The sequence below is a fragment of the Homo sapiens genome, chromosome 2, assembly GCF_000001405.40.
Source record: "Homo sapiens chromosome 2, GRCh38.p14 Primary Assembly".
NCBI classification, from domain to species: Eukaryota; Metazoa; Chordata; class Mammalia; order Primates; family Hominidae; genus Homo; species Homo sapiens.
In genome coordinates, this window is record NC_000002.12 from 86,858,847 (window position 1) to 86,882,377 (window position 23,531).

At 41.9% G+C, this 23,531-nt stretch overlaps 1 protein-coding gene and 1 pseudogene across 7 annotated transcripts in view; one reads left to right on the forward strand and one right to left on the reverse strand.

Annotated features, from left to right (window-relative positions):
• The window catches only part of CD8B (CD8 subunit beta), a 46,518-nt gene extending 43,478 nt beyond the window's left edge, over positions 1-3,040 (reverse strand). For all 6 annotated transcript variants that reach the window (NM_001178100.2, NM_172102.5, NM_172213.5 and 3 more), the window contains exon 1: positions 2,977-3,040. In NM_001178100.2, coding sequence (NP_001171571.1) covers positions 2,977-3,019 — 43 coding nt within the window. In that variant the 5' untranslated portion in view covers positions 3,020-3,040. The remainder of the gene's footprint in view (positions 1-2,976) is intronic.
• ANAPC1P1 (ANAPC1 pseudogene 1) overlaps positions 2,941-23,531 on the forward strand; it is a 51,192-nt pseudogene continuing 30,601 nt past the window's right edge. The window contains exons 1-7 of the transcript NR_037931.2: positions 2,941-3,076; positions 12,461-12,697; positions 14,341-14,502; positions 14,994-15,209; positions 19,671-19,722; positions 19,927-20,027; positions 20,623-20,705. The product of NR_037931.2 is annotated as an ANAPC1 pseudogene 1 (transcript). The remainder of the gene's footprint in view (positions 3,077-12,460; positions 12,698-14,340; positions 14,503-14,993; positions 15,210-19,670; positions 19,723-19,926; positions 20,028-20,622; positions 20,706-23,531) is intronic.

Consider the following 23,531-nt stretch of genomic DNA (forward strand, 5'->3'; position numbering starts at 1 on the left):
TCTATCTTCCCACCTCAGCCTCCCAAGTAGCTGAGAGTATAGGCATGTACCACCACAAAAGGATAGATCCAGGATTTTTAATCCTCATTACACAGATGAGGAAACTGAGGCATGAAGTTACTTGTTCAAAGTCCCACTTACAGTATGTAAGTGGCCTAGGAGTCAAACTCAAGGATTTGAAGTCTGAAGCCAAAGCTGGTTGCCTTTCACCTCCCCTGGCTGCCACTGGATGTACAGCCCTTCGGTAGGCTCCAAACTGCCGAAGGAGACCCAGGACAGGCTGGGAGAGGAGCCCAGAATCACAGCAGAGCATGTGGCTGGTCTGTCCGTTGCTGGACAGACCCTGGTAGGTACAATTACAGCCCATGACCCCCGAGCCCAGCAACTGATGGGTCACTGGATCCCTATTCCCCAGTGGAAGGACAGACACCACAGAAGCAGGGCTGGGAGTTCATCTTAGACTCTGACGAGAAGCACCCGGCAAGCAGGGGCTTATTCATGAGGAGCTAGAGCAGGACTCACAGACCTGGCCCTGAACCCAGCCTCTGGCCGTGCCAGCTGTGAGACCTCAGGCCAGTCACCGAGCCTCTGTCTTCTTATGAACGGAGGACAGCTTGGGGCTGTTGTCCTGCCTGCCTCTGAGGGTTGGAAATAAATGAAATGCTGTCCAAAAAAGCACACTGTAAACTGTATGGCCATGTACACAGGTAAATACTGTCCCTGTGTCTCATATCACAGGGTTGTTACTGGAGGTAAATTAAATCTCAAGGAGAAGGATCAGAACAGGTTCCATACACACCAAGGCTGCACAGCTTCCAACAAACACAATCTGACCTGGTGAGCCCTTCATTTTGGCTGTGGAGCAAAGGGAGACATTGCAGGCCAGGGCAGAGATGCAGGAGTTGGGAGGCACAGAGAGGACACAGACCTGGGTAGGCAGAGGGGGCCAGAGGGCATGTGTGTGTGCCCAAGAGGAGCCAGCTTACTGAGCACCTCATGTTTAAAATCCTGCCTGCACTTGCAGCTCAGGCTCCGTGGCCCCATAATGGCCTTCTCCAACACTGATGAAATGAACTTCGACTTTTTGACTTCGCTCCTGGACCACTCTTAGCTTTCGCTCGCATCAAGAATGAAATGATGGGGCCGGGTGTGGTGGCTCATGTTTGTAATCACAGCACTTTGGGAGATCGAGGCAGGAGGATCACTTGGGCTCAGGATATCGAGACCAGCCTGGGCAACATAGTGAGACCTTGTCTCTACTAAGAATACAAAAATTATCCAGGCATGATGGCGCGTGCCTCTAATCCCAGCTACTAGGGAGGCTGAGGCAGGAGAATCGCTTGAACCCGGGAGGCGGAGATTGCAGTGAGCCAAGATTGCGCCACTGCACTCCAGCCTGGGCGACAGAGCAAGACTCCATCTTGGAAAAGAAAAAATTATTAAAAAATAAAAATAAAAATAAAAACAAGAAGGAAATGATGCCTGGGGCACAAGTGGCTGCTGGACTTCCTCTTGTTTCCCCAAACACCACACTGCGGTTCCAGCAGAGCAGAGGTTTTTCCTTGCTTTGGGTCACTCACTTCTTGGGGGAGTTAATAAGAACCAATAATGCCAGTTTATTGAGCTGTGCCTGGCATGGCGCATACATTATCTCATTTGATCCTCACCAAATCCTGTGGGGGAGATACTGTTTTGCACCTACTTTACCCATGAGGAAAGAGAGACTCAGGAGGGTTAAAGATGTGCTCAAGGTCACACAGTGATCCAGATTAAAACCCAGCTTGTGGGACCCCAAAACCTGACTTTGAACCACTGAATTGAAGAAACCTGCAATCCTCTCCCTGATGGTGGTTATGTGCTCACGAGCACACAGTGGGGCTGCAAGTACACAGGTGCCCGAAGCCCTTCCGGGAAAACCCAGAAGCGACTCCTGTAAGAGCAAGGCCTGGGCTGTGAGTGTGCATTTCCTCTCCTGGCTGAGACACACCCCGGCTCTTCCCGGGGCCCACTTGCTTTTTGTCCCCTAGGAACTGAATACTCCGGGCTGTGGCCAAGGCCCTGCTGTGTGCTGGACATGGAGCCAGGCCTCACTGCATGTTCCCCTCGGTAACCCAGGAATTCCATTCTCAGAGGGACCTGATGTTTCTAGATCCATCAGTAATGACTTTAGTGCTCTGAACGGCCTGGGCTGTTTCTATTTATGATGTTGCACTCACTGGGCCAGAACCCCCGGCGGGCAGGCCTTGTCACCCCCTGGCAAGATGACCAGCTTTGGGCTTTTTGGGCACGAGAGCAAATCGACCAGTTTGGGTAGTTTTCCGGGTGTGTGGAGGCTTCTTCCAAAAGGCAGTCTGGCTGGGCTTATTCAGAAGGACAATCCAGATGCCCCATCCAACTCCAACAACCCAACCTCCAGGCTGCTTCCTAGGGAGCCACGCTACCCATGACACCCAACACCAGCGACATCAGGGAGAACGGGAGCCAGAGGGATCACCCTGCCCTAGCCCTCCGAGAACTGAGAACGCCCGATGTTTGTCTGATTGTACTACAAACACTTCCCCGGAAGTAATAAAAATGTGTCCACAGGACCCATGGCCTGGCCAACCTTCCTCCGAGCACATCCTGCGGGGACCCTGGGCAGGGACCTGTTTCCTTCCCCTGGTGACCTCCAGCGACCCTCTCTTTCCTTCCCTCACTCGCTCCCCTTTTCACTGCCTCCCCTTCTCCTGCGTCCAGGCTTTTGAGGGGAGGTGGCCTCAGTCCAGGGGCTCTCCGGTCCCCCGGGGTAATGCGATATGGGGGTATTTTATTTCCACCCTTAGGGACCGTGCCTGCCAAGCTGCCTCCCGGGCGCCCCGCCACCGCGGGCTCGACGCTGCACCCTGCCAGGACCAGGGCCAGGACAGCCACTTATCACCTCCCCGCTCAGGCCCCGGGAGCGCAGACCCTTGGGTAGCCCGCGCGCCGCCGCCTTACCTGTCAGCTGCGCGGCCAAGAGGAGCCACAGCCGCGGCCGCATCGTGGCGCGCCCGGGACACCTGGCCCCGGGGGCTCGGCGGAGACAGTCGCGGCTGGGGTGGGTGAGGAGCTGGCCGGGCGGGGCGCCTGGGTCGGGGAGCTGGGGGGGCAGTGGGGAGGGCGGGACCGGGCGCGGTGGCGGCGGGAGTCTGGTGTTGGGGACCGCGAGGTCTCCGCCCTCATCCTCCTAGCATTGCAAAGGTCTGGGCTGCGTTTCCAGAGCCCACCAGGACCCTCCGCTTTCCAGAAAGGAGGGGACACCGCCGGCCTCCCCCAGGCAGCTGCATGTGTGTCATCGCCCCCTGCCCCGGGAGGTGCTCAGGAAAGGGTTGTGACCCCGAGTGACAGTAGAGGCTCAGAGAGGTCAGGATGTGTAGTGCATGGTGGAGCTGGCCACTAACTCGGGCCGCTTCTTGTCTTGTTTGAGTAGCAATTGAGGGGCTCCTGGGTGCCCCGGGCTGGGCTGGGCCTGGAGTCAGCAAGCCCCAAGTCTTGCCCTCCCTTGCCAGGGAGGAAGGAAAGGTAACCGGCTGTGACACTGAGGGAGGTGAGCTGGGAACTGGAGGTGCAGAGAAGGCCCCGACGCTGTTTGTAGGTTGTGGGGGTGCAGCAAGACCTAGATCTTAAGAATTTCGAAGGACTGTGACGATCACCGGCTGCGCCCTGCCGGCGAGTGCCCTGGGGCTGGCTCTATTTGTTGCGCGATCCAGCCCTGGTGGGGAGATTTGTGAGGGGAGACCTGGCTCAGGCTGTGTCTTCCTGTTCAAACGGGGGTTAGTAGAGAGGGGGTTGGGGAGGTCCAGGGAGAACTGGGCATGCAGCCTGCAGGGGAGAGGGACCCCTTGGAGGGCTGCGGGAGAGGCTCCTTGTAAATGTCAACAAAGACCCAGCCAGGCAGGTCCATGGGTTACCCTAAGAGCTTAGAGTTTATCGGAGAGGAAATGGCGTGTCCCCTGAGATCTAAAGCAGGCAGCCGGGCAAGGACACTGTCACATTTGGTCTCCACATCCAGTATTCTTTCCATCCCACTCTTGCCCCAGCCCCTCTGCCCATTGCTGGTGACAGCATTGCTCATGGCTGAGTTGGGTGCAGAGAGTTCAAAGGCACTGGGGGAAAAGAAGTCACTCAGCCCAGCCAGAGGCCAGAGTCTCGCTGGATACTGCCTTGGCTCCCATACAATGTGTGGTCTTTAGCGAATGGCTTCTTTGACTCAGCGCAATGTTTTTCAGGTTCATCCCCATTATAGCACCATTTCTTCTTATTGTTGAGTAATATTTTGTGTATGTACCTGTATATACCACATTTTCTTTATCTGTTCATCTAATGATGGACATTTGAGTGGGCTACTATATCTACTTTTTGACTTTTGTGAGTAATGCTACTGTGAACATTCTTGTACAAATATATGTTTGGGTGCCTGTTTTCAATTCTTTCAGGTATGTACTCAGGCAGTGCAATTGCTGGGTCATACAATAATTCTATGTTTAACTTTTTGAGGGACTAACCAACTGATTTCCATAGCAGCTGTGACCATTTACATTTCTGCCAACAATGAAAGGGTTCCAATTTCCCCACATCATCGCCAACACTTGTTATTTTCTGTTTTTGTTTTGTTCCATCCTAGTGGGTGTGAAGTGATATCTCATTGTGGTTTGGATTTGTACTTCCTGAATGAGAAATGATGTTAAGCATCAATTCATGTGCTTGTTGGCCATTTGTATTTCTTCTTTGTATGTGTATTCAAAGTATTTGTTGTTTAGAAAACACAAGCTACCTCTTTCTATCCACTCTCTCATGGGCGCCACAGCATTGCAAAAGGAACAACTTTCTCAGTAAATGATTAAAAGTTACTCACTGCTTTGTCAGGTATTGTCTAAAATCATAGACAGGGAACCCCTGGATGCATTAGTTATGGAAACTCTTGCGTCTGTGATAAATTAACCTCTAAATATTAGTGGTTTAACTCAATACAAATCCCCTGCATTGTTCTGTGACATTCAAGTGCAGTTGTGCCAGGGAGTAAGGAGTATTTGCTCCACTCAGTCCTGCAGGGGACCAGGGTCTTTCCCCCATCTTCAACTCATGGCTCCAGAGATCACTGTGCAAAGGGAAAAGAGGATGACTGCCTTCACCAGGGCAGTGTAGGGGGTGCTGGGGCTGGGTACCAGGCCTGGAAGCATCAACATCACTCTGTCTACTTTCCACTGGCCAGAGCTCAGTCACATGGACTCAATCATACCATAAGGGGCCTGGAAAATGGAGTGTACTTGAGTGCCCAAGAGGAAAGGGGAAATGGAATCAGTGAATACATAACCAGCATGGACCGCACTGGTATAGCAGAAAGAGCACTGGTTAGCATCACTTCTCTGCTACTTACGCACTCTCAGGCCTCTGTTTCTACGTGGATAAATGAGGAAAATAATACCAACCATGCCATCTCACTGGGTTATCTTCAGGGCTAAATAAAATCCGGGATCTGCTTGCCCATTGAACTTGGAGGAGGTAACTCAGCAGGTCTCAGATGAAGCTATCACTTTCTTGTGGGACTGGCTTGGAAAAACATTGAGGGCATGGAGATGGTCATATCGCTTGAGGTGGGCTGTGGGCAGTTAGTGGGTGGGGTCAGGGAAGCCAGGTGCACAGAAGGACCTTTCCTTTGATGTTCATGTGTGCCATTGGATATTCATTCAGGTGAATAACCTGTTTGTAATTAATTGTCTGAACCTGGAACAAAACTCAGTTTTGCCTGTCAACATAAAGTACCTTTCCCTCTCAGGTTTTGCCTTCTCTGAATGTAGCGGTTTTTAGTCCACCATTCACTTGTGCCTTTGCTCTTCCATTTTCCTGGTCTTGGCTACAGATCAGCTCATGCTCTGACTTCTCTTCGGTTGACGTTTGTTCAGTACAGGTTGGTATAAGTATTTGGGGACCTCACTATATTGTCTTCTGCAGCTGTGCCTGAGTGTTGACTGGTTAAAATACTTGTCCATTTATTATAAAGCAATCTCCTCTTTTATATAGTTCAGGATTTTTGTTGACTTGTTTTGAAATTACATGTGTAGATAGAGCCTATTATCTGTGAAATTCATTTCAGGACAGTGAAAGTATCATTACAAAGAGTCGTTCTGGTGAAGGAGGGCTGGTCTGATGGGTTGAGAACTGCTAGATTGGGTCATCGCAGTGTGACCCGCTGCCACTGTGGTGCCTGGCCAGAACTCAGTCACATGGACTCAACCAAACTGTAAGGGGCCTGGAAAATGGAGTTTAGTTGGGTGCCCAAGAGAAAAGGGAAATGGAATCAGAGAATACATAACCTGCCTGGACTGCACTGGTATAGCAGAAAGAGTGCCTGTTAGCATCGCTTCTCTGCTATTTACCCACTCTCAGGCCTCAGTTCCTATATTCATAAATGAGGGGTGCTCTTTAAATAGCTGTGGAAGGAGTGAACAGGTAAAAGGACTAGTGTAAAAATTAAGATAGTGCAGCCAGGCACGGTGGCTCAGGCCTGTAATCCTAACACTTTGGGAGGCGGAGGAGGGTGGATCACCTGAGGTCAGGAGTTCAAGACCAGCCTGGCCAATATGGCAAAATCCCATCTCTACTACAAATACAAAAATTAGCTGGGTGTGGTAGGGCACCTGTAATCTCAACTATTCAGGAGGCTGAGGCAGGAGAATCGCTTGAACCCAGAGGGCAGAGGTTGCAGTGAGCCAAGATCGCGCCATTGCACTCCAGCCTGGGCGACAGAGCAAGACTCCATCTCAAAAAAAAAAAAAAAATTAAGATAATGCAATAAGAAAATTCCAGAATACAAGCAGATTTTTAGATCAGTTTTACAGAGAACATTTTGAACCATGTAGAATAAAAGCTTATTAGGCTGATGCTCACTTTCCACTTGGAAATCTCACACTTAGTTCTAACCCAAATCAAAGAGAAGAAGTCTAGATTGCTTTTTATAGTCTCCTTAGGAAAAAGTCTCAAATATCAAACTAACCACCATCAAAGGGAGCCCAAATCAAACAAAAATATATTGAATAAGCCTCTTTTAGTAGGGAGTTAATGATTCCACTGTTACCATTAAAAGAAATGAAAGCAGAATCCCTCCTACTCAGAGAAGTGACATGAGGTGTAAAGCAAAGAAAATAATGTCTTTAGAGAGTTTATTTCCAAGTTGGAGACCAGGCCCATGGAATGCTCCCCTATTGGAGGTCAAAGTGCAGCTCCATATCTCAAAATCAAGTTCGTACAAACACTTTACTAGTACTACCTCCCCAAGGACACATTCCACCTTTTTTTTTTTTTTTTTTTTTTTTTTGTAGAGACAGAGTCTTGCTCTGTTGCCCAGGCTGGAGTGCAGTGGCGCTATCTCGGCTCACTGCAACCTCTGCCTCCCGGGTTCAAACAATTCTCTTGCCTCAGCTTCCCGAGTAGCTGGTATTACAGGCAAGTGCCACCACACTCAGCTAATTTATTTTGTATTTTAGTAGAGACAGGGTTTCACTGTGTTGCCCAGGCTGGTCTGAAACTCCTGAGCTTAGGCAATCTACCCGCCTCGGCCTCCCAAAGTGCTAGGATTACAGACATGAGCCACCGCACCTGGCCTCCCACATTTTTATTTTTCCACATTAATTTTCTTATTTTAGTGATTTTATTTTAAAATGTTGAAACACTATGTTCATATTGTACTGTCAATCAAAAATAAAAAAAAAAATGTTAAAAAACATAAGAAAGAATATCCAGGATTTTTAAAATCACATAAAGAAATGAAAGTCTCTTTTTCTGCTTCTACCAATTCCAGACTCTAGGGTGAGCCTTTTAACAAAAAGAAATTATTCAAATAAGAGAAAGAGGGCCAGGTGCAGTAGCTTGCACTTGTAATCCCAGCTACTCAGAAGGCTGAGGTGGGAGGATTGATTGAGCTCAGGAGTTGGAGACCAGCTCAGGCAATATGGTGAAACCCTGTCTTTACCAAAAAAAAAATAAAAATAAAAAATTACCCAGAGGTGGTGGCGTGTGCCTATAGTCCCAGCTACTTGGGAAGCTGAGGTGGGAGGATCACCTGAACCCAGGAGGTTGAGGCTGCAGTGAGCCATGATTGTGCCACCGCACTCCAGCCTGAGCAACAGAATGGAAACCTTGTCTCAAAATAAAAAGGGATTTTTTTTTTCAGGAGATCAAAAATGTTGATCCAGTAGAAAAGTTAATTCCTGGCCAAGCAGAGTGGCTCATGCCTGTAACTTTGGGAGGCTGAGCTGTGAGGATCGCTTGAGGCCAGGAGTTCAAGATCAGTCTGGACAACATAGCAAGACCCCCATCTCTATTAAAAAAGAAAAAAAAAGAAGGAAAAGCTAATTTAAAAATTATGACTACCCAGAAGACATCAACCATTTCTGTATCTAAATTAGCAAACTTATTGCAACATAAATCTCTGTTCCTTAAATACTTTTCAGACTAAGTGTGCCATGCTTGTTGGTCTTTTACTTCTTTGTGCACAAATGCAGTAGTAGAAGGAAGAAAATGAGATGGGCTGGGGTACTGAGTGTCAGTTAAGGGATCTGGCTTTGCTCAGGACCTTGGCCAATGAGAGATCTATCGGTTCTAATTATATCTATAGCTATATACGCAGGTGCATATGCATTTATATTATTTTACATAGTTCAAAACATTCTCTGATAGATTGATCTAAAATCAGCTTGTGTTTGGGAAATTTTCTTATTGTTTGGCAGTCTTAGCTCTTAGCTCAAACCTGGTGAGCAGAGTGGTCTAGATTCGAGCCCCCACTCACCTCCTTGGCTGAGCATCTGTATCTTGTGGCCCTGGGCCTATCAGCAAGACATAAATTGGAACCTGGGCTGGACACTAACTGGTGCCCTGCCTTGGGGGAATGGCTTTCCTATCTGGGTCCCACAGTTCTCATATGAATCACACCTACTTCACAGGACATTTTGTGTGATCAGAGTCAGCATGTAATGCAGTGTGTTCTATGCCCACCACCCCACACATGCTTACTGAGCACATGCTCTGCTATTCCAGGCCCTGTGCATTCCAGGCATTGTGCATATATTGATAAACTAAACAGATAAGATTTTTGTCCACGGGGAGCATAGAGTCTTGTGAGATAGACAAATAATAGGCCAGGCATGGTGGCACACACCTGTAATCCCGACACTTTGGGGGGCTGAGATGGGAGGATCACTTGAGGCCAGGAGTTCGAGACCAGCCTCGTTAATGTAGTGAAACTTCATATCTATTTTTTTAAAAAAGCAAATAATAAATAAATGCTATAAAAAATGTGCAATGAATGAGCCTGGTAAAGAAATAGAGGCCCAGATGAGACTTGGAAAATAAATTTTTTTTTTTTTTGAGGCAGTCTGGCTCTGTCACCAGGCTGGAGTGCAGTGGCACAATCTCGGCTCACTGCAAGCTCCACCTTCCAGGTTCATGAAATTCTCCTGCCTTAGCCTCCCGAGTAGCTGGAATTACAGGTGCCCGCCACCATGCTCGGCTAATTTTTTGTATTTTTAGTAGAGACGGGTTTCGCCATGTTAGCCAGGATGGTCTTGATCTCCTGACCTTGTGATCCACCCGCCTTGGCCTCCCAATGTGCTGGGATTACAGGCGTGAGCCACCACGCCCAGCCGGAAAATAAATAATTTAAATAAGTTGTTGCAACCTTATTCTGTGGCTTGAAGAAAATGTGACTGTGGAACCTGAGCTACATAGCTAACAGCTGCAACTTCTGCTTATCTGATTATAGATTCATCCTTTTTAAATTTTTTTTTGTTTGTAAAATGTTGTGAAAGACTGAATGGCACCAAGATAAGACCCCTTCCCTTCTGAGTCACTGATCTTTTGTTATAGATTAACTTCTTCTCTTGTACCAGGTGGCACAAAATACTCCATGACTATTAAATTACTCAAGATGCAGCTGGAAGCTGCATCAGCTCAAGATGAGCACCTTTATAATCTCCCTCACCAAAGTCAAAAAAAAAACAAAAACAAAAGAGCTTATCTAAAAAAACATAGAAATACACTTACTTCCAGATTTACAAACAAGTGGAGTTATTTCATCTAGTGGGTGCAGCATGCTGAACATAGTGGGTAAAGTTTCTCTAGCAATAAACAAATAATCAATTAATTACCAATACGAGTATGTCTGTGCACAAATTTTGCACTTCTATTGAAAAGAAATCTCCAGATTACACAAGCAACTAGAAACCTACTATCTCAAAACGCAATCTTCTGAACTTTGTACATACTATTTTTCACATTGTCTTCTATTTCATTCCTAGAAATCTCTCCCCTGAGAGTAATTCTATCAATGCACCAACAGAGGAAAATCAATATAGTCCAGAGAATTTCTGCAAACAGCAGTCATCACAGTACAGAACAAATGGAGTAATGTGTATAAAGCAGTCTTTTTTTATTGACCTCTCTTACTGGCAGTGTGTCTTTGGCAGCTAAGAAAGAAATTTATTCTCCCATACCTGCTGACAAAGGAATGCATTTTTTAAAAAAGGAAGAAACAAACTACTTCAAGTAAATTAAGTCTGCTTTTTTTTTTTTTTTTGAGATGGAGTCTCACTCTGTTGCTCAGGCTAGAGTGCAGGGGCATGATCTCGGCTCACTGCAACCTCCACCTCCCAGGTTCAAGCGATTCTCCTGTCTCAACCTCCCGAGTAGTTGGGATTACAGGCACACACCACCACGCCCAGCTAGTTTTTTTGTATTTTTAGTAGAGACGGGCTTTCACCATGTTGGCCAGGCTGCTCTCGAACTCCTGACCTCAGGTGATCCACTCGCCTCGGCCTCCCGAAGTGCTGGGATTACAGGCGTGAGCCATCGCGCCTGGCCAAGAATAACATTTAATTCACAGCAAAATAACTTTGTGGCTTTAGAGGAGCTGCAAAGGAACTACATAGGCTTTGGGTGTTTGTGTAACCATATAGGACTCTTGCCCTATGAGCAGCAAGTCAATACATGGAAACAACGGGGATTGCAGCAGATAAAGTGTTTTACTTGCAGGGCCACCGAACTAGGAGACTGAGGAAACTTCAAGTCAGCCTCCCAAAAGAGTTAAGGTCTAGAGGTTTTTTTTTTTTTTTTTTTGAGACAGAGTCTTGCTCTGTTGCCCAGGCTGGAGTACAATGGCATGATCTCGGCTTGCTGCAACCTCCGCTTCCTGGGTTCACGCCATTCTCCTGCCTCAGCCTCCCGAGTAGCTGGGACTACAGGCGCCCGCCACCAAGTCCAGCTAATTTTTTGTATTTTTAGTAGAGATGGGGTTTCACCATGTTAGCCAGCATGGTCTCGATCTCCTGACCTGGTGATCCGCCCGCTTCGGCCTCCCACAGTGCTGGGATTATAGGCGTGAGCCACCGCGCCCGGCCCAGAGGTTTTAAAGAGAGGGTAGTGGGCTAAGGTATTGATTGGTCAGAGAATGAAGGATGTAGTCATAAGACAGAGAGATAAACCACATTCTCATGCTAATGTGGTTCCTTGATGGGGTCTTAAGACTAGCTTGCATCATCTCAAAAGTCTTAGGCTCCTAACATTAAAAATGCTGTCCATAGGAACATGGTATATATAAACAGGTACAGGAAAGTGGATCAAAGGGCAATCTAATTATGCTTATCTGTACTTTTGTCTAAAGCCTGTTTGCTTCCTAACCTTGTGATGAAGGCTTTAACAGTTATCCACATTTTTTTAGTAATAAACTGTACTGTAATAGATTAATAATTAGATTAATTAGATGTAATAATTAATTAAAACCTAATACCCTTAAATCTGCAAGCATAACTGTTCCATGGCTAGAGTTATTCATGCCTCAGTTCTCTGGGTTTCGACCAATAATTGAAATTGATTGTAGTTATATATTTAGGTGGGATTGGGGGTGTCACAGCTACTTAAGACATTTGATAACCTATGTTTTTTGTAGATTGGTCAGCTGAAAGCAGTTCAACCTCTGATGAATTAGAGTAATGTGTGGTTTTTTATTGTTTTATTCCAATATGACAATGATCCCTTAGATGTACTTTTCAAATGAGGTTCTGGCATCTAACCAGAAATGACCTTAAATGTTGAGAAGCCATGTAGTTATGGGACTACAGAATACAACTTGTCTAAATACTTCATATATAAAGTATGGAAAAATTAGCGTATAGTAGTGGGAAACACGGGATAGGTGGTGCGGGACATAAGTACTTGTTGCATCTCAGTGGTTTCCTATAGTGGTAACTGTCAGTCTGTGACTAAAATGTGATAATTGCAACTGTCTGAATCAGATCTAGAATGCCCTTTTATGTTATGACCAACTTATACACTTACCAGTCTGATATAATTACTTGACACCTATGTAAGGATTAATGACTTGTGTGTTTATGGTATTTTTATTCTAGTTTTGAGTCTGGAAGCTGACCAGAATGTGTTTGAATTCATACAGAAATAATGTTGATATTTGGAACCCATGTCGAACTTCTATGAAGAAAGGACAACGAAGATTGCAGCCAGGGATTTGCAGGAATTTGTTCCTTTTGGTGGAGACCACTGCAAGCACCACCCTAATGCTTTGAACCTTCAACTTCGCCAGCTGCAGCCAGCTTCTGAATTATGGTCTTCTAATGGTGCTGCTGGCTTTGTGGGATCCCTTCAGGAGGTTACAATCCACGAGAAACAGAAGGTTCCATTGAGTTTCCCATTGTGTTTTTGAAATGTAGAGTGATATAATCTACTTGTAATTTAAGGCTACTAAGATGCAACTGAGAGATCGGTGTGATGCCACTTCTAGGGTAGAGTTAAGGTGTGGTAATTTCAATAAATGTTGAAAATAATGACTTTATTACATTGTCATAGCGACTTATTTAGATACCCTCTATAACTTGTGGTTTTATTTATTTTTTATTTTTTAATTTTTTTGTTTGAGATGGAGTTTTGCTCTTTTTGCCCAGGCTGGAGTGCAGTGGTGCGATCTCGGCTCACCGCAACCTCTGCCTCCCGGGTTCAAGTGATTCTCCTGCCTCAGCCTCCCGAGTAGCTGGGATTACAGGCATGCACCACCACCCCTGCTAATTTTGTATTTTTAGTAGAGATGGGGTTTCTCCATTTGGTCAGGCTGGTCTTGAACTCCGGACCTCAGGTGATCCACCCGCCTCGGCCTCCCAAAGTGCTGGGTTTACAGGCGTGAGCCACTGTGCTCGGCCAACTTGTGGTTTTATAATGTGAGTCAGGTTCAGTAGTACGATTGTTGTCCATTTTAAACCTTTTTCTTTTCACTTAATATGTGGGGACCAGATTTCATGTTATTTAATGATTAAATGGTAGAGATTAGAAGTAGTCCCTGCTGCAGAAGATTTACATGTTTCTAAAGGAGAGAAGAAATGCCACAAAAGTAGGTAGAGTAATAGTTTTTTTTTTTTTTTTCCTGAGATGGAGTTTCACTCTTGTTGCCCAGGCTGGAGTGCAATGGCACAATCTCAGCTCACCGCAACCTCTGCCTCCTGGATTCAAGCGATTCTACTGCCTCAGCCTCCCGAGTAGCTGAGATTACAGGCATGTGCCACCACGCCCAGTTAATTTTGTTTTTTTTAGTAGAGGCGGGATTTCTCCATGTTGGTCAGGCTAGTCTCAAACTCCAGACCTCAGGTGATCCACCTGCCACGGCTTCCCAAAGTGCTGGGATTACAGGCATGAGCCACCACACCCGGCGAGTAATAGTTCTTAAGTAGGGGAATGAGATGTTAAGTGTGTGTCAGAAAATGAATCCCTCCTGCCTTATTCCATTGTCATATCCCTTTGGGATACCAAAATCTCGGGGAGGGAAAGCCTATGTAGTTACAAATGGAAACTTCTCTTTCTTCCATTCATTTTGGTGGGTGGGACAAAGGAAAAGAAGGTGAATATATATGTGATTGTGAAGCAGGAAGTCTGCATTTGTGCGTAAACTCCCCGAGTGATTCCCACGTGCACCTCACTGTCCTTTCCCTACCCTACCTCATATACTTAATATGTCTTTTTAGTCTCCCAAGCATGTGATTTGACTTTTGGAACTATAGAGAAGGTGTACTTTTTGTTCGTTTTTGTTTTTGGCAGAGTAATATAGAGGAATAATATAAAACATTCAATATAGAGAATTATTGCGTAAATTCTTCATGTAATTCTGTAATGTAATGCATATATCCACATCCTCTGTTAATCAGTGTACCAAACTTTGTAGGAGTTGTGTTTGAATTGAGTCTTACTCCATGGGCAAATAAATTTTGTTCCAGATTTTTGAAGAACAAAAAAAGAGTCCTTGAATATGTCTTACATGTGTTAATTTTTAAGGAAAGCTGGCAGTTAAGGAAAGGAGTAAGTGAAATTGGAGAAGATGTGGACTATGATGAGGAACTCTATGTTGCTGGAAATATGGTGATATGGAGCAAAGGAAGTAAAAGCCAGGCATTGGCAGTTTATAAAGCATTTACAGTTGACAGTCCTGTTCAGCAGGTGAGTTGATTTGAATTTTAGCATTTGATTCACTATTTAATGCAATTAAAAAAAGTTTTGTTTTAAAATTTAACAGAAATGATAAAACCAGCCTAATGATCTCAGCAGCTGGGTGTACGTTGTAACATGACATAATGTAATGTGAAGATAATCGCAGGAAAATAAAAATTTAATTTTATTTTATATATCATCACTTTTTTTACACTCTCCTTTGTCACTTTAATGGTAATCTTTAAACACTCTGTCCTTATGTAATTCAATTTGTTATTGCCAGCAAAAACCTATGAAACATTAAGAGTACAGAAATATTTTAACACATGATTACTATAATTGATTGCAAAGATTTGAATAAATAAAAATCGTGGGATTCATAATGGTAGAGAGAAAGGAAAAAATCTGCTTTGCAACCATTGCAGTTGGCTGTTATAACTAACTGTTCTGAAAGTTGATAATGAAAGGGAAAGAATTAAGCATTTGCCATATTTTTTCAGGAAGACATGCAGTTCATCTCCATTTGATGAAGGAAAACTTGTACTTAGAGAAGAATGCCAGCTAATAAATGTAAAAGGAATTGTAGAATTAGAATATCACCATTTTGTAACCTCCATTGCAATAATGGATTCAAACAAGGATTGTAAATGGATACTAACACGGTTGGTTGAAAGAATATTACCATGGCACCAACACATCACCCTATGGATTACCTGGTAAATGTGAAGGAACAAATGTACCTCTACTTTGGAGTTATTTGTCAATCTCCACCTCAATCAAGTGATTGAGTTTAGCATAATTAGTAGTGACATGAAGGAATATTATGTGCTTCTAGCTGTAATACAGAATGAAGTACGTGATGTCATCTAAGTTTTCTTCCCAAAAATATGAATATTTAGACCTAACTTCCTGTTTATAGGAAATATAGGCAATAGAGAATTATATTTTAAAATACCATGAGATAAGGAAATAGATAGCTAGGAATGGCTAAAGCTTTATTATTATTATTGTTGTTTATTTATTTATTTATTTGTTTTTTGAGATGGAGTCTTGCTCTGGCACCCAGGCTGGAGTGCAGTGGCATGATCTCAGCTCACTGCAAGCTCTGCCTCCCAGGTTCATGCCATTCTCCTGCCTCACCCTCCCGAGTAGCTGGGACTACAGGTGCCTGCCACCACACCCAGCTAATTTTGTTTTTATATTTTTAGTAGAGCTGGGGTTTCACTGTGTTAGCCAGGATGGTCTCGATCTCCTGACCTTGTGATCTACCCACCCACCTCGGCCTCCCAAAGTGCTGGGATTACAGGCATGAGCCACCATGCTCAGCCAAGCTTGATAATTATTAAAACTGGCTGATGGGTATTCATTATCCTATTCTGTTTACTTTGTATTTATTTGAAATTTTCCATTATAAAAAGTTTGTAGTCTACATTCTGGTTTCTTTAAAAAAGTCACGGAGAAAGAAAAAAAGGTGGGGACTGTTCTATATTGAAAGAGACTGAAGAGACATCACCAAATGCAGTAATTTTTGATCCTTGTTAAATGAACTTTGATTGAGTCCTGGTTTTAGAAAACTAGCTAAAAAGATATTTTTGGGGAAAATTTGGGAAAGTTGAAAATTACTGGCCAGTAGCTGATGTTAGAGAAGTATTATTTTTTTCTTAGGGATGATGATTTTATGGTTTCATAGGAGAACATCTTTATTTTTAGAAAAGGCATGGTGAAGTATTTAGGGGTGAAATGTCATGATGTGTGTGCAATTTATTTTTAGACAGTCAGCATTCCCATTCCAAAAATCCCATATGTACACAAATGCACACATACAAACAAATATGGCAACATTTTCATGATTGTTGGATTTAGGTGAAATATGTCTGCTGCATTATTTCAACTTTTCTTACTGAAAATTTTTATAACAAAAAGTTGGAGGAAGAACTAATGCATTTATTGTAGATGAATTAGGGTTGACAAGAGGTTTTGGAGGCTTTGACTAATGTTAAGTTTCATTTTTGTAAACGCTGAAATCTTTGTATCTGGACACTGCTTCCTCCCACTCCTCCCACCTACCATTAACTATTTCCTGGTGAGTATTGTATTCTAACTATTTATTGGAAAGGATAAACTGAATCATTATTCCAACATTTGAGGGCATATGTGAAAGCATTTGTGTCCTGGAGTGTTGAAGCCAGTGATCTTTTTGATGGTAATTTTTTTCCCATATAATTCATATAGTTAGTATAGATGTGAAAAGTGCATTTGATGATATCCAAGTAGTTCTTTGCTTCTATATCTTCATCTTAATTTCTCCAAGAATGGTTGCCTGTTTACTAGATTCCATGGAAGTGCAGTTAGATACATTATCTCCTTTATCTTAAGATCACTTGTAAGTGTAATTGTAAGATTTGGAATTTCAGTCTTTTGATCTGGAAAATATATTGTTACTTAATCTTCTTGCTAATATGGAGAAAGATAATTTTCTATTTTGTTTATGAAATAATATCAGGTATATGTGACTCCGATTTTATCTGTTCATTGTTTTACCTATCCTGCAAGTATTTTTTTTTGGTTGTTCTTTTTATTTTTTCATTTATTCTTTTTGTTTTTTAATAGAGATGGGGGTCTCACTATGTTGTCCAGGCTGGTCTTGAACCCCTGGGCTCTAGTGATCCTCCTGGCTTGGCCTCCTAAAGTGCTGAGATTACAGGCGTGAGCCACTGTGCCTGGTCTTCTGCAAGTATTTAGTCTCACTCTGTTTCAGACATTATGCTGGGGCTACAAAGGTGAATGTAGTTTCTGCCATTGAAGGACTCATAGCCTAGAAAGGAGAACAAACAGATCAACTGAAATGCTGTATTCTGAATGCTGTATAATAACTACCTGTCCACAGAGTGATGAGAGCCCAAAGGACTGAGTGCCAAAGGGAGGGTTTTTCAAAGAAGATGCTATTTGTGTTATAAAATGGTGGCAGAAGGGCATTCTAGGCAGAGGAAATCATAGCAAAAAGAATTATGGAAAAAGATGACTTTTTAAACTTCAGAATGGCTGTACAAAAAGAGTGGGTGTGGAGAGATGCAAGTGGATGCTGGCAATATACAGACCAAAGGGCCTTGTATATAAACCAAGGAATTTGGATTTTAAGCTGTGTGCTGAAGGGAGCTTGCCAAGGATTTTAAAATGGAAGCGATCAATTTTGTGTTTTGAGAAGAGATTGCTTTGTTAGCAATATATATATAGGATTGACTGGAGAGGAGGGAGACTGTTGTCAGGGGCACTATTTTGTGACTGTTCAGGTAAAAGATTGGTGCCTTGGCAAAGAAGGGGTGATAAAGCAGAGGGAGATGTGGAAGGGGTTAGTGATCTCTTAGGTATCAGGGATAAAAGAGATGTTAAAATATTTACTTTTAGAGGCTGAGAGGATGGGATTTCATGAAAGGAAGTTGAGACTGTAATCGGTGCATTGTAGATTTTGGACGTTTCAGGTTGGAGCACAGCTCTCATGCATGGTTTTCTTCATGAATTTTCATTTCTTAACCATTAAAATCTCCCACAACTCAGCAATAAAACAAACTACCCAATTAAAAAATTGGGCAGAAGGACTTAAATGGACATTTTTCTAAAGATGCACACATGGTCAATAAGCACATGAAAAGATGCTCAGCTTCGCTAATCATTAGGCAAATGCAAATTACAACCACAATGAGATACCACTTTACTAGGTTGGCTGTTATTAAAGAAACATAACAAATGTTGGTGAGGATGTCCAGAAATTGGAACTCCTGTGCATTGCTGATGGGAATGTAACATAGCTGCTGTGGAAAAGTTTGGCAATTTCTCAAAAAGTTATACATGTAGCCAGGCATGGTGGTGCATGCCTGTACTCCCAGCTGTTCAGGAGACTGAGGCAGGAGGGTCACATGAACCCAGGAGTTCTAGGCTGCTGCGAGCTAGAATCATGCCTTGCATTGCAGTTTGGGTGACAGAGTGAGACCCCATCTCTTAAAAGAAAAGTTACGCTTAGAATTACCATTATGATCCAGCAGTTCCAGTTCTAGGTATATGCACAATTGAATTGAGAGCAGGAACTCACAAATACTTGTATACCAGTGTTTTCAGCAGCATTATTTATGACAGCCAAAAGGTAGAAACAACCCATGTCCACTGACAGATGAATGGATAAACAAATGTGGTATATGCTAACAGTGGAATATTGTTTAGCTTTAAAAAGGGATAAAATTCTGATACATGCCATAACATGGATGAACCTTGAAAACATTATGTTAAGTGAAATAAAAGAGATATAAAAGGACAAATGTTGTACAGTTTCACTTACATGAGATACCTAGCACAGGCCTTTTCATAGGGAAAGTGGAATAGAGGTTACCAGAGCTCAGGGCATTGGGAAATGGGGAGTATTGTTTAATGGGCACGGAGTTTCTGTTTGAGATGAGGAAAAAGTTCTGGAAATGTGCAGTATTGTACAAGCTCACAAATTGTACTAAGCTCATCAATTTAATGTTAATGCCACTGAATTGTCTACTTAAAAATTGTTAAAATGTTAATTTTCATATTGTGTATATTTGACCACAGTTTAAAAAAAACCACAAAATGCTGTTAAATAATAAGTGATTGCCAAGTATGTCAGTTAAAGTTTAATAGCTTTTCCTAGTTTATATTTTGTAAGATGGGCTTTTAAGAAAAGGAGGAGTTAATTTTTCTAAATACTTTTTCAAAAGTCAGTCTAGAGAGAGTCTAAGAATAAGATCAATTGTTTAATCTAGAGATTATAAAGTTTGAATAATCTTTAGTTTTATATAGGATATAGGGTTTAGTATGGTTTGAGCCACTATTTGAATTTTTGCTGCAAAGTTTCTATCTGGTAGATTTTTTGATTCTTGTCTTCTCTTTTTGTAAAATTTATTTTTTTAATTTAAAATTTTAATTCCTATGGATCTTTTCATAAAATTTAATTGTAAACGTATTTCGTCTTTCCTTATCATATTTATCATTTATTACTCTAATTTATTTTTTCTTATTCTTTTTGTTCCCATGATTGTACATGTTGAGCTGAGGAGGCAAAGTTATTATGTAGATGCTATTATTATTATTTAGATGCCATTAGTTAATAGATGATTATTTAGATATAATTTTCTTAGGTAAGCATTTTGTTTTGATTTTAGGCACTGTGGTGTGACTTCATTATATCACAGGATAAGTCTGAAAAGGCCTACAGTAAGTTTCTTTTTGAAATTTTATTTTTCTTATGATGATTCCAAATATTTATCTCATTGTATTTTTCATTCAAATGAAGTAGCCACTAGTAATAGTGGTTTACCATAAGCATCTTTATATTGTGCATTAAATAATTTGTGCTGTTAGGATTGAATTCCTTTGAGGGAAAAAACATATAAGTCTTGTTGTACCCTTTCTTTTCAGGTAGCAATGAAGTAGAAAAATGCATATGTATATTGCAAAGCTCATGTATTAACATGCATAGCATAGAAGGAAAGGATTACATAGCTTCCTTACCATTTCAGGTAAACAAGTGTTTCAAATTTTGGGGGGGTTTTGTTGGAGAACATTTTTGAATTAATTGGTTTTAGAGGCATGTCTTATGTCTCATGTTTCGTAGTAGTCAAAAATGTTATTTTTACTCAAAATAACTAAATTTTGGCAGCTTTAGTGGCTTACCATTTTTCTGTACTTCACAAAAAAATAAGTTATTTAATGAAGTAAATTAGGAAGTCTTCTGTGGTATGTGTTTGTTGGTTTAAATGATATGTAAGAACTTTTGGTTATATTAAATAAGGCATATGAATAACACCAGTCTTTTTTTGTTACTCATCGTCTTTTTAATGCCTAAGGCTATTGTTAACACATTGTCATTTTGTTACTGATCCTGGCCAGTGGCAGGAATTTCACATTGAACAACTCCTCTTTATTAGATTTGATTTTATCTTAGAGTTGCTTATTTGTATTACTTTTTAAGAAAATACCATATTTAATGATTATGTTACTTTGTAAAGCTATTACTAAATTGGAAAATAAAACATTCTGTAATGTTTCTTTAAAACATTTTATAAAGGGGTAGGTTCTCTTACTTCTATCTTTTCCCACCCTTTTACCTGAAAGGTTGCAAATGTTTGGCCCACTAAATATGGATTGTTGTTTGAACGAAGCGCTTCTTCACATGAAGTACCTCCAGGTTCACCCAGGTATTCATTTTATTCACTTCAGAATATTACTGCTTGGGATTTGTGTGTGTGTGTTGGTTCTGAGGTTTATCTAAAAGTCTGAGATGATGATAATTTTCATGCTGACAGCATAGATATATGCCATTTTCTCTCATCTCAGTACAAGTTGAGTATCCCTGATCCAAAAACCTGAAATTCTCCAAAATCTGCAACTTGTTGAGCTCCAGCATGACACTCAAAGGAAATGCTTATTGGAGCATTTCAGGTTTTGGATTCTCATATTAGGGTTGCTGTCATCAAAAAGATAATATGTCATGATCAAATGGGTTTTGTCTCAGGGATGCAGGGATGGTTTAACATACACAAGTCAATAAATGTGACACATCACATAAACAGAATTAAAAACCATATGATCATCTCAATAGATGCAGAAAAAAGCATTGGATAAAATTCAGCATCCCTTGATGATAAAAACAAACTAGGCATAGAAGGGACTTACCACAAATTAATAAAAGTCATATACAACAAACCCACAGCCAACATCATACTGAATGGGGAAAAGTTGAAAGCATTCCCCCTGAGAACTGGAAGAAGACTAAGATGCCTACTTTCACCACTTCTATTCAGCATAGTACTGGAAGTTCTGGCCAGAGCAATGAGGCAAGTGAAAGAAATAAAGGACATCCAGATTTGAAAAGAGGAAGTCATACTATCACTATTTGCTGATAATATGATTATATACCTAGAAAACCCTATAGACTCCTCCAAAAGACCCCTAGATTTGATAAATAAATTCAGTAAAGTCTCAGATTACAAAATCAGTGCACACAAATCAATAGCACCGCAATACAACAACAATGACAAAGCTGAAAATCAAATCAAGAACTCAGTCTCTTTTTTTTCGAGACGGAGTTTTGCTCTTGTTGCCCAGTCTGGAGTGCAGTGGCATGATCTCGGCTCACCACAAGCTCTGCCTCCCAGGTTCAAGTGATTCTCCTGCTTCAGCCTCCTGAGTAACTGGGATTACAGGCATGCACCACCACGCCTGGCTAATTTTTTGTATTTTTAGTAGAGACGGGGTTTCTCCATGTTAGTCATGCTGGTCTCGAACTCCCGACCTCAGGTGATCCGCCCACCTTGGCCTCCCAAAGTGCTGGGATTATAGGCATGAGCCACCGCACCTGGCCAGAAATTCAATCACTTTTATAGGAGCAGCAAAAAGCCAAAAACAAAAACCTATGAATACGCTTAACCAAGGAGGTGAATCATCTCTATAAGGAGAACTACAAAACACTGCTGAAAGAAATCACAGATGACACAAACAAATGGTAACACATCCCATGATCATGGATTTGAAGAATCCATATTGTGAAAATGATCATCCCGCCAAAAGCAATCTATACATTTCACCATAATTCTCATCAAAATACGATCTTTTTTTTAATAGAGTTAGAAAAAACAATTCTAAAATTCATATGGAACCAAAAGAGCCCAAAATAGCCAAAACAATCCTAAGCAAAAAGAACAAGTATGTAGCCATCACATATACTGCAAGGCTATAATTACCAAAACAGCATGGTACTGGTATAAAAGTAGGCACATAGACCAATGGAACAGAATAGAGAAACCAGAAATAAAGCCAAATACTTGTAATCAAGTATTTGATCTTTGACAAACAAGCATACAAAAACATAAATTGGGGGAAGGACATCTTATTTAGTAAATGGTGCTGGGAAAACTGATACCTTTTTTAGAAGAATGAAATTGGATTTTTTTATCTCTCACCTTATACAAAAGTCAGTTCAAGAGGGATCAAAGGCTTTAAGCCCTGAAACCATAAAAATTCCAGAAGATAACCTTGGAAAAACTCTTCTGGACATTGGCCTAGGCGAAGAATTTATGACTAAAACAACAGAAGCAAATGCAACAAAAACAATAAATAAATGGGACCTGATTAAAATAAAAAGCTTCTGCACAGCAGAAGAAATGTCAGAATAGACAGATAGTTCACACAGTGGGAGAAAATATTTGCAAACTGTGCATCCAACAAAGCACTAGTATCCAGAATATATAAGGAACTCAGATCAGCAAGACAGAAGCTCAAAAAGTGGGTAAAGGACATGAGTAGACAGTTCTCAAAAGAAGATATACAAATGGCCAACAAACATGAAACTGCTCAATATCACTAATCATCAGAGAAACACAAATGAAAACCACAGTGAGATCTCACCTTACTCTTTAAGGAATGGCCATTATTAAAGAGTCAGAAAAACAATAGATGTTGGCATGGATGTGGTGGAAGGGGAATGCTTATACACTGCTGGTGGGAACATAATTAGTATGACATCTATGGAAAACAGTATGGAGATTCGTTAAAGAACTAAAAGTACGTCTACCATTCAATCTAGCAGTCCCATTACTGGGTATCTACCCAAAGGAAAAAAAGTCATTATATGAAAAAGATACATGCACATGTATGTTTATTGCAGCACAATTCACAATTGCAAAGACAAGGAAGCAGCCTAAGTGCCCATTGACCAATGAGTGAATAAAGAAAATGTATATATACACCATGGAATACTAATCAGCCATAACGAGGAAATGAAATAATGTCTTTTGCATCAGGCTGGATGAAACTGGAGGCCATAATTCTAAGTGAAGTAACCCAGGAATGGAAAACCAAATACTGCATGTTCTCACTTCCAAGTGAGAGCTAAGCAAGGAGTATGCAGAGGCTATATACAGAGTGTTATGATGGACTTTGGAGACTCAGAAGGAGGAGGGTGGGAAGAAGGTGTGGGATAAACAAACTACATGTTGCGTACAACATACACTACTCAGGTGACA